A 12904-nucleotide genomic window follows, 5' to 3' on the forward strand; every position below is an offset into this window, starting at 1 on the left:
TATAAAAATCTAGACCTAAACCAGTAACAAAGAACCTTGAAATAAATGAAGGCCCGATACTAGTAAGAAAGAACTCTGCAACAAATGCACAAGTATATACGGTATATCTTTCTTCTACTATTTCTGAATAATCTAAATGTACACTGAATAAAGGGAAGTGGAGAGAAATTTTAGATATAATTGATATTGAACTGGGTTGATGTCAATACCTTGATTAAAAACAGTACTATTATGTGATACTGGTCAGAGCTGCAGCTTTGTAGAGGATCACAAGATAAATACATTCTGGCCATAGTTTTTCTTGTGGTAGAAACATTCCCCCACACTTCTATTGCATAGCATTGCATAAAATGGATGTTTGCCATATGTATATGAATTTTAATGTGAGCAAACAATTTACAATTTGTTTATGAAAAAAACATCTTCATTGTGTTCACTTTTATATGATTTATGGTTCCCTTGACTTCTCACGTGGAATAGAAGTTGATTAGGGAGATAAGCAATAGATTTTATTTCCTGTACTATCTCTTTCTCTACATTAGCTCAAAGATAAATTTATAGTAGGCTCTTTCGCATTAATCATTTGCTGATTACAGAAGAGGTAAATAAATATTCAGAAATAGCATATTTGATCCAAATATTATTGTTAATTCAACTTGAATAAAAGTGATTAGGAGAAATTCCTATAGAAAAAAATTAATATTCAATAAATTAAGATCATGGCTGCCTATTAACAATTCAACTTTGATTACATAAGTATAACTTAATATATCTATGACGTAAACCAAGTGATTATGTTAATAAAATGTCAAAATCAAATTCATCATGAAATCAAAATAGAAAATTGTAGCCTATTGATTTCTAAATACCATTTATCTACAAAATATAAGTTAATGTCATTTATTTAAGGGAAATGAATATTTAGTTTATAAGTAGCTGTCTCCACAACTTGTAATTTACAAATTATTACTGGAAAGAAACACTTTTCCTGTCAGCCACACACTCAGATCAAATGTTTTAATCCTGCCCTTTTCTGCCTTGTTCTGTGCCCTGAGAAACTTCCCTCTGTGGACTGCTCAGTGTGGTCTTTCCTCCCTTTTACATTCAAGTTGAGTATATTTGATAAGAATCAAAGATTATCAGAAGAAATAGATCATATGTAAGTTGAGAATATTTTTTATTTATTACTCATTACAAGCGATCAGTTTTAGCATGATAGATATATGCTAGTCTTAAGTTCACTAGCAAAGGGGAATAGACTGCATAAATGAAATGAGCATGGTCAAAATAAATTTAATAGTTGGTGCAGTATAATGGAAAGTAAATAAAGGAGATCAAAAAAAGAAGATGCAATTTCAGTGTCCCTATAAACTTGTCTCACACTTACTGAGAGTTTACAATAGTGGGTAGGAAGTGATTAATTTTATCATCTTAAAGCAACACCTTTTCTATTGTTAATCGAAAGACCTTCTGAGACAGTGACTAGCTAAGGGCAGTAACAGTAAAGATCTGTTTCAGATAGTTAGAAAAGAAAATAGAGGTGAACACACACATACACAAATAGAAGCAAGGAAACGATGACAAGAAAGAAATTAATGAAACAAAAAAATGCATATGTAGTAGCAAAAACGTCAAAATTTAGTTTTTAACAAGACTAATACATTGATAAATCCTAGGAAGGGGGTAAAAAGGAAAAAACAGAAAGGGAAAAAAAGACAAAATCAGAATTAAAGAATTCTGCAGGATCTATTCTGCTGCCATAGATTCTGCAGAAATCTAAGAATGATAATTTAGTGACAAAATTTACCAACTAAGTTGATGTGTTTTATAAAAAAAAAAAAAAAAGTGCCTGAAAAACACAGCACAACTGACAGGAGAAGATACATAAAAATTCTGAAAAGTACTGCATCTATAAAATTATTTTAATCTGCTATTAAAAGCCTTTCCAGAAGAAAACTTCATGCCCAAATGATCTCACCATGAAAAAACTACCAAATAATTAAGGAAAAAAATAGCAAATCTTTAAATGATATTTGCCAGAGTTAAATAAGGAAAAAAATGCTTCCATACTCAGTATGAACAATATAATCCTGACAGAAAAGGAATAGAAAAATACTAAAAGAAAAAAATGTTGGTTGGTTGGGGGCAAGTGCAAATTGTTAATGGGTACTAAAATACACTTAGAATGAATAAGATCCAGTATCTGATACTACAACAGGGTGAAGATAGTCAACAAGAATTTATTGTGTATTTTAAAATAACTTGGCTGGGCACGGTGGCTCATGCCTGTAATCCCAACACTTTGGGAGGGCAAGTCTGGTGGATCACCAGAGGTCAGGAGTTTGAGACCAGCCTGGCCAACATGGTGAAAACCCGTCTCCACTAAAAATACTAAAAATTAACCAGGCGTGATGGCCAGCACCTGTAATCCTAGCTACTCAGGAGGTTGAGGCAGGAGAATTGCTTGAACCCAGGAGGCGGAGGTTGCAGTGAGCCAAGCCAAGATTGTGCCATTGCACTCCAGCCTGGGCGACAAGAGCGGAACTCCGTATCAAAATAAATAGATAAATAACTTAAAGAATAGAATTAAAATGTTCCTAACAAAATGAAATGATAAATGCTTGAGATTATGGATACCCCAATTACCCTGATTTTATTATAATACATTGTACGCCTGTATCAGAACATCACGTGTACCCCATGAGTATATACACTCATTATGTACCCATAATAGTTAAAAGTTACATTTTTAAAAGTTAAAACACAGTGCAACTAAATGAAATTCTAAAAATATGTTTTACAATATCCATCAATAGATTAAAAACAAAAAATAATGCATCACATACAGTTAGGATATCCTTCAGGAATGTAAATAGCTTAATATTTTTAAAACTTTTTGGCAATTCTGAAAATTCCTTCTAGAACAAGGAAGATAAAGCTATTACCTAATATTACGTTAAAAACCATTGAATAAAGCTTATTCATTACACAAAACTGCTAGAAAGTTGAATACTAAAGAGATTTCTTACACTAGAAAAGGCAAACTATGGCCCACAGGAAAAATGTAACCCATTCTTGTTTTCTAAATAAAGTTACATAGGAACATGGCCACAGTTATTCATTTGATTATTATTTCTGATAGCTTTTGTCCTGAACTGACAGAGTTTCATAGTAATGACAGAGATTATGCTCTGCAGGTCTAAAGATACATACACCCGACTCTTCATAGAAAACATTTGTTACTCCCTCACCTACAGTAAAATGTCTAAAATTTCTCAGCGAGTTTGGAATAATAAAGCTAGCTGCTACTCTCTTCCCTATTTTATTAGAAGATGTAGCCAGTACACTAAGACGAGAAAATACAATCATGGGTATAAAGATTGGAAAGGAATAAATAAAAACGCCATTATTCATAGATGGCATTGTGTACCAATAGTATAACTATTGCATACACTAGTGTATTTAATAAGTAAATGTATCAAGGCCATTGGATAAAGATCAGTATAAAAAATAAACTTTATTTCTAAACTCCAGTAAGAAAATATTAGATGTGAAGGTTTAAAAACTCTAGTGTTCATTATATTAAAGAAATTTAATCACATAGAAATAGTTCTACTAAAATATATACCAGATATTTGCACATAGAAACATAATATTATTGAGATACAATATAATAGATTTCAATAAATTGAAGTGTATACCATGTTTGTGTATTTGAATGCTCAATATAAAAATTCCTGTCTCCCAAATTGATCTATAGATTCAATGGAATCTCAACAAATGGAATATTTTAAGGGAGGATATATGGTAGCAGTTTGACAAAGTTGCACTAAAATGCACCTGAAAATGCTAAGAAACCAAGATACTGAAGAAAATCTTGTAAAAAATCTTTTTAAAAAGGGTGGATGGCTATACCACCATATTCATTATATAGCTAATGAGATATATAAATCATTTTATGAAGAAGTTTATTTAACTTGTTGAAAGCCTTTGAAGAAAATCTAAATTAATTAGAACATCTCAATATTTTTACCAGAGTAAGTCTCTATATCATGCACATGTCTATTTTTTCCCAACAGGAAGTTTCATAAAACTCAAAGTCAATTCTAAAACATACATCGAAAAGCAAATCCCCCCAAGCAACCAAGACACTTTAAAATAAAAGGAAGTAGAGCAAATGTCTGGCTGGTTTCTATCTGTATCACGAAACAATTTAATTAAGACAGAGCGGCGATGAGGTTCAGGACCTCCTACCCCATACAGCACATTGGCATTTGAGAAAACAACAGAATCAGAAAGGCTGCCCTTTGACTTTCTCTGGCCTTTTTCTCTTAAAGCAGGACATAAAACCTAGGAAAGATTTTCCAGCTTTCCCTAGAAGCAGGTCATAAGACCCTCATTGGAGGGGTATCCTCTATACCAAGAGGAAAGGAGCACCCTTATCTCTGAGGACACAAGAATACAAAGTAGAATCTGACCAAACAGATCTTGCTAAGTTCCCCCCAGTTTATTGACATTAAATCATACATTTTGTCCAATCATATTTCTCTGATGTCCACTCTTTGTAAAACCTGTAAAAAATCTACAGGTTTACCCATTTCTTTGGGCCTTCATTTCCTTATGAAGACTCTCAAGTCATGTAAATTTTCTATGAAATATATCCATATGCTTTTTCTTATTAATTGTCTTCTGTTATACGGGCTTCTGTGAACTTAGGACGGGTGAGGTAAAGATATTTTTTCAACCCTTCAGAAAGATATTTTTTTTCTTGTCCTTCGTGTTAGGGCAAGGTTAGAGCGGTAGATCAATGGTACTGAATAGAAAAGCCAGATACATAAATGGATATAAAGATAGATAAATAGACATAAAGATTATAACAAAGAGAAAAATCTAACATCATGAGGAAAGAGTAGTCTTCTTAATTCCTCTGATTCAATTGGGTATCCATGTAGAAAGAAAAATATAAAAATTGACCCTACTCATACCATAAAATATTAAATTGAGTTGAATTGCAGACACAAATGGAAAAAGTTAAAAGAGAAAAAATAAAATAATACATTTGAGAACATTCTCATGAACTTGTGGGAAAAGATTTTAAGGTGTTTACCCAAACCTCTAAGCATAAAATAAATTACTCATTTATTCATTTAGATACATTAAATTAGGGACTTCTGTTTCTCAATAGGAAATACTAAGAAAATAAACTGTGTAACAGAGGGAGAAAAATATTTACAAAAATTATACATAATATAAATTTTACATTTACAATGAATAAAAGACTTTCATATAAATAAGAACAAGATAGATAACCCAATAAAATTAAAAGTACAAAAAACATGAACAGGCACATCACAAATGAAGGTATCCAAGAGGCCAACATTTGAAAACATGCTGATTTCTATTATTCATCAAGGAAGTGTAAAATAAAAATTGGGGAATATCACTACTCACCTACAATCATAGTTAAATTTCAAGATTTTCTACTGGTAGAAGTGTAAATATTTTCAAAACCTGTGAAAAACATTTTGACCACAGCTACTAAATTTGACCCTGTTCTTTACCTGTTACTCAACAAATCCCTGCTGGAATAATAAAACATATATACAAGAATGTTCATAGAAGAACCATCTATAATAGTAAAAAACCAAAAAAATCACCTAGATGGCCAACAGTATATTAGTAAATATATTTACTACTGAATAGTGGATGGTTTATACAGCAATAAAAATGATTTAACTACCGTTGCACAAATAACAGGGATGAATCTCAAAAGTATAATGTTGCAAGAAAAATGCCAGAATATACAGTTTGTACCAAATGACTCCATTTTTATAAATTTCAATAACAAACATACTTATTTATAATTTTAGAATTTGGGGTCATGGTTCCCTCTGGAGAAGGGGTAGCAATTGAGGGAGTTTCTGAGAGGTTCTGCTAAAACCATGTGGTAGTTTATGTTAATTCATCCAGCTGTATACTATCATATTACTGTGCTTTTCCAAGAAAACAAGAAGAAAATTCACCATTATCGATATAAAATAAACTTGCAGTTAAGGATGCAGATTCCGGATGCACAATGTTTTGATTTGCATCAAGAATCTGCCACTTACTACCTGGATAATCATAAACAATTTACTTCCTTCTCCATTCTTCAACTCCCGTTCATCATTTGTAAAATAAAGGTAATATAATTCCCACCGGTTTTGAAAGTTTTATGAGTAAGTGCGTATGGTATTTTCTCAATGTTTATATTCTTCCAAAATTCATATGTTGAAATATAACAGCTGGTGGTGGTGGTTCATGCCTGTAATTCTGGTACTTTGGGAGGCCGAGGCAGGCAGATCACCTGAGGTCAGGAGTTTGAGACCAGCCTGGCTAACGTAATGAAACCCCGTGTCTACTATAAAAATACACAAATTAGCCGGGCGTGGTGGCGGAGCCTGTACTCCCAACTACTGGAGAGGCTGAGGTGGGAGAATCCCTTGGATCCGGGAAGCGGAGGTTGCAGTGAGCCTAGATAGCGACACTGCACTCCAGCCTAGGCGACACAGTGAGACTCCGTCTCAAAAAAAAAAAAATAAAGGAAAAGAAAAGCAAAAAGAAACTTAACCATCAATGTGACAGTATTAAGATGTAGGGTCATTAGGAGGCAATTAAGTCATGAGGATCCAGCCCTCATGGATGGGATTAGTGCTTTCATAAAGGAGACCCTAGAGATATGATTTGTCCCTTTCACTGTGTGAGGACGGAAAGAAGATTCCATTTATGAACCAGGAAGAAGGTCCCTACCAGATTGTGAAGTTGGGGGTGCCTTGATCTTGAGCATCAAGACTCCAGACCTGCAAGAAAAAATTTTTGCTCTTTTTTTTTTTTTTTTATTATACTCTAAGTTTTAGGGTACATGTGCACATTGTGCAAGTTAGTTACATATGTATACATGTGCCATGCTGGTGCGCTGCACCCACTAACGTGTCATCTAGCATTAGGTATATCTCCCAATGCTATCCCTCCCCCCTCCCCTCACCCCACCACAGACCCCAGAGTGTGATATTCCCCTTCCTGTGTCCATGTGATCTCATTGTTCAATTCCCACCTATGAGTGAGAATATGCGGTGTTTGGTTTTTTGTTCTTGCGATAGTTTACTGAGAATGATGGTTTCCAATTTCATCCATGTCCCTACAAAGGACATGAACTCATCATTTTTTATGGCTGCATAGTATTCCATGGTGTATATGTGCCACATTTTCTTAATCCAGTCTATCATTGTTGGACATTTGGGTTGGTTCCAAGTCTTTGCTATTGTGAATAGTGCCGCAATAAACATACGTGTGCATGTGTCTTTATAGCAGCATGATTTATAGCTCTTTATAAGCCACCCAGGTAATAGTATTTTGTTACAGCAGCCCAAATAGACTAAGACAACACGTAAAGCCTCAGAACAGTGCCTACCACATATAAAGCTCTAAAGAACTGTCAAATATTGCTGTTTATTAAGACTCAACTCTAATCATGGAATAATTGTTTTGAGCAAGGCTTTGTAGGAAAGCTGATTGGTTTAGATTTCTTCTCCATATGGATTCGTGGAAGTTGAACAATGGAAGATGTAGGCAGGGGTGTTGTTTACGGTATTAACAGCATTAGGAAAAAGGGGCCAGTGAAACGCTGTTCCTGTTCTTACGGGCAGAAGGGGGAAAATATGAGATAATCTTTGAAAGATTGGAAGCATTTGATTCATCCAATCCAACATAGCTCCTCAGAACCTCCTAAAACAGGGCTGCTGCCTTCCCAGACATGTAACTTACACGGCGTCACAGGGCTCCACACACGGCTTAATGTTGTGCTATTGCCGTCTTGAAATTCTTAAACATTTTTCAACATGAGGCTCTTTATTTTCTTCTTTCCTTTTTTATTATTTATTTATTTATTTATTTATTTTGAGACGGAGTCTCACTCTCTCACCCAGGCTGGAGTTCAGTGGCGCGATCTCGGCTCACTGCAAGCTCCGCCTCCCGGGTTCACGCCATTCTCCTGCCTCAGCCTTCCAAGTTGCTGGGACTACAGGCGCCCGCCATCACGGCCGGCAATTTTTTGTATTTTTTTAGTAGAGACGTGGTTTCACAGTGTTAGCCAGGTTGGTCTCGAACTCCTGCCCTCAGGTGATCCGCCTGCCTCGGCCTCCCAAAGTGCTGGGATAAGAAGTGTGACCCACCGTGCCTGGCTAAGGCTCTTTTTTTTCATTTAGCATTTAACACTCCAACTTATGTGTAAATCCTGCGTGTAATTGTTTTGTCAAATGCATAATCTGTATCATGTTTATTTATTTGTTTAAAGCTAGCTGTACAAAGTGTGGAGCTGTGTATAGTTAGGGAAGAAAAAAAGAGGTCAGATTTTTGCCTATTTCGCCAATGACTCACCATTCTTATCTCCAGCCACCTGCAGAGTCCTAGAGCTCCTGAGAAAGTATGAATGCTCGTGAATACCCTCTCTCTTAATGGGAGATGATTCTAGTCTTGAAGAAAAAGTTGTGGGAGCTCTTTAATAGGAGCTGGCTATTAAAAAACTATACTCTGAATACAAATCTCAGGTTTTACAAGAAAGGGGTAGAAGACATATCTAAATGTATTTGATTGATAAGTTTACTTTTGTGAAACATTACTGACAATATGAGAAATTCAATAAGAAACTGAATATTTCTTTCATAGTAAGTTCTGGATGATAATTGAATCCGAATCTGTATCAAGTGTTGATTTATTTTAAATGAATATTTCACCAATTATTTTAACATGATAAAAACACAATTTAAATATATGTTAACAAAGTTAAAGTGTAAAATATTACTGATCTATTGAAATAAGAACGAAGGACTTAAGATTTAAAGGGTGACTTCTTATGTCTCCTCAAGAAACTTTAAAATCTGCTCGTATTGTACAGAGAAACTACATTATTACTTGACTTTTTGCTATCTGTATTGAAAACCATAGAAAGCCTAAATGTAAAATTCATTAATTAGTAAAAATAACCTTTATATTGAATTTTAATTACCACTTTACTAAAGTACATTTTCCATTTTATACATTTATTATGGTTAGAGTTTGAGAACAAATTATAAATTGATCAACTTCTTTAAATAATGGGTATTTTGTTACAAATGTAGAAAAACAATATTTAATCTAAGTTGTCACATAACACATGACACTCACTTTACCCATATAATAGAGATTCTTATGATTGTTGAGGATGTCTTTTGTAGATGGGATCAACACTATGCACGTGTGTGTGTGTGTGTTTCTACGTATGATTGGTGGAATTTATGTTACATGTTGTATCTATAGAGCATGTTGGATGGAATGCTTTTGCAAAAAATGTTTTAAGTTCCTTAAACAGCACAAATTTAACATAGAATGAAATAGAGGATAGAAATAAGCATGAAATTATACATACTTATTTTGTTGCTCTATGGATGCCTATGCCTACTATATCTAGTTTCAACTAAAGCTAAAAGACAAAAAAAAAAAAAAAAACTCACTGAAACTGACAAATAGAATGAGTCAGGTACCTATGGAAATTCCAACACAGTGATGGAAAAAAATCAATATGACTAAGATTTGAGTTTTAACAAAACCCCAAGTCAAAGTATTTTATTAGTTCAGTAGAATCAGTGATCACTTCCATTATCTAAATAACATTTTTTTCTAATTTCTAGACATCTTTATACAAATATTTATATTACTTCTTCCAGTTTATTTGAATGAAAATCTCTAACCTGATGAAAGGATGGAAATTCACGATAAACTAAAAGGGACAACTTTTGACATATAATAAGATCTGATACACATATATGTGTATGTATAATTATTCAAAATTTAGATTTTTTTAACAATACTCATAGAATACTATGGTAATGATAAAAATCCTGAAGAGGTTATGAGTGGAATTTGAAAATAGTTCTCTAATTTGCTGCAGAATTACCTGCCACCACATCACTTTTATCCTAGGCAAAAATCTACTCCTATTCCTAAGATTAGCTGTCCTGTCTAAGATCAAAGGCTTTTGTGAACTAAAAAATTTATTGATAAATAAGTGATTTCTGAGATCTAGATCAGTAGCACGTGATGATGCAATTCCAAGTTATAGCATTTGACAGTATTTTGCAAAGCTAGAATAAATAGCTCTAATATATTTCACAGTCTTATTGGATTCATCCCTGTTACTAAATCCCTGCATTTAACTTTTCTGATTAGCACACAACTATTCCATTTCCTTTTGTTAGATGTCTGTCTGAATGGTTCACAATATGGCTGCCCTCACTTGAAAGCTGACTATCTCATTTATTTTCTTGGTTGTCATCTCTCTACATTTACATTTTTGTCCTGCTCCCCAAGCAGACTGGTACATGGAGTGAGTTCACTAATGTTAACCATTGAAATGTAACTGCATATATGGCTATAATTTTAGTATACTGTGTATGAGTTTCTTAATGCTGTCAGAACAATGTACAAGAATTTGGGTGGCTTAAAACAATTCATTTATTATATATGGTTCTGAATGCTAGAAGGGTGAAATCAAGGCAGGATGGCCTCTTTCAGAAAGTAGTGAAGAAGAACCTACTTGTTCCATGTTTTTCTCCTAGCTTCTGGAAGCTTCCAGCAATCCATGTTGTTACTTGGCTCTAGATGCATCACCCTGTTCTTTGCCTCCATCATCACATGACATTCCCTTCCTCTGTTTCTTAGTGTCGCCTCTCTTCTGATATAGACACCAGTCATATTGAATTAAGGCCTACCTTAATTAAGTATGACCTCATTTTAACCTGATTATACATGCAAAGACTCTATTTGCAAACAAGGTTACAATTGCAAGTACTAGTGATTAGGACTTCAACATATTTTTGGGGGATATACATAATTCCAGCCAGAACACTATGATTCAAAAACCTAACAAAAACATGGCCAGCCACTGTGGCTCATGCCTCATGCCTGTAATTCAAGCACTTTGGGAGGCTGAGGCGGGTGGATAACCCGAAGTCAGAAGTTCAAGACCAGCCTGACCAACACGGTAAAACCCTGTCTCTACTAAAAATACAAAAAATTACCTGGGCATGGTGGCATGCGCCTATAATCCCAGCTACGTGGGAGACTAGGCAGAAGAATTGCTTGAACTTGGGAAACAGAGGTTGCAGTGAGCTGAGATTGCACCACTGCACTTCAGCCTGCACAACAAAGTGAGACTCTCTCTCAAAAAAAAAAAAAAGAGAAGAAAAGAAACATAATAAGAGCTAATATATGAGCATTTATTATCCATCAGAAATCCTGACATGACATATAATGCATCCCTTACAATAAATATGGAAAATAGTATTATTACTATAATTCCTATCTTACAGGTGAATAAAGTGATGTATTAGTATATTTATTGCCTAACATCACAAACATGATAGAGTAAGTTACAAATGCCTGTGACTTTAATATTCACATCATTCAAATACCAAAATTTACACATACATCTGAGCTTATGCCAAAATCTAGCCGAGTACTTTTCTAACATAAAGCATGTCTAAAATTCATATGTTTAAATCTAATATTAAATTTTATATTATTTAGGTTTAATTATTTGTAGTCACCCCCTTTAAATAACATTGCTTCTGACAATTCCTAATATAAAAAGCCTATTTTCTATATTGACTATATAGACTGCAGAGAAAGATGTTTTCTCTGGACAGGTAATTCAAAACTGTTAGGGACTGTAAGTAAAAATTTGTGAATCTTGGAGCAAAGAAAATATATATAGTTATGTGTGCAATGTGTGCATGATATACAAAAGTGTAGAAAAAGATCTCAAATCCAATTAAGAAAACATACAATGTAAAGCACAAAGTGAATACAAGGGTAACATATAGCAATTTATGTACAAGAATATAAATTGCCAGAAATTCAATCTATCACACGTATCAAAAATGAAGCTCCTTCCAGAATATGTAAAACATGTGAATGCATCTAATGCAAGAGGTTACTTTCTTAAAATCTACAGGCAACGGGGTGTTAAAGTCTCCCATTATTATTGTGTGGGAGTCTAAGTCTCTTTATAGGTCTCTAAGGACTTGCTTTATGAATCTGGGTGCTCCTGTATTTGGTGCAGATATATTTAGGATAGTTCTTGCCTATCTTACTCACTGCTGTATCCCTCAGTTCTTGGCATAGTGTCTGGACCAAGGGAGAACTTAAATTGTGTTTCTGAATGAACGATTGAAAGACAGGCACTGGCCATGCCCTTGCAGAGCTTACCGGCTAATGAGAGAGAAAGGTAGGGAACAATCATCACCTCACAGTACCATTAGACAGATCAATGAGACGGAAAGTTAGCAAGGATATCCATGACCTGAACTCAGCTCTGCACCAAGTGCACCTAATAGACATCTACAGAACTCTCCACCCCAAATCAACAGAATATACATTCTTCTCAGTACCGCATCATGCTTATTCCAAAATTGACCACATAGTTGGAAGTAAAGCACTCCTCAGCAAATGTAAAAGAACAGAAATTATAACAAACTGTCTCTCATACCACAGTGCAATCAAATTAGAACTCAGAATTAAGAAACTCACTTAAAACCGCACAACTACATGGAAACTGAACAACATGCTCCTGAATGACTACTGGGTAAATAACAAAATGAAGGCAGAAATAAAGATGTTCTTTGAAACCAATGAGAACAAAGACACAACATACCAGAATCTCTGGGACACATTTAAAGCAGTGTGTAGAGGGAAATTTATAGCACTAAAAGCCCACAAGAGAAAGCAGGAAAGATTTAAAATCAACACCCTAACATCACAATTAAAAGAACTAGAGAAGCAAGAGCAAACACATTCAAAAGCTAGCTGAAGGCAAGAAATAACTAAGATC

The sequence above is a fragment of the Homo sapiens genome, chromosome 13 (assembly GCF_000001405.40).
Source record: "Homo sapiens chromosome 13, GRCh38.p14 Primary Assembly".
Lineage (NCBI taxonomy): Eukaryota > Metazoa > Chordata > Mammalia > Primates > Hominidae > Homo > Homo sapiens.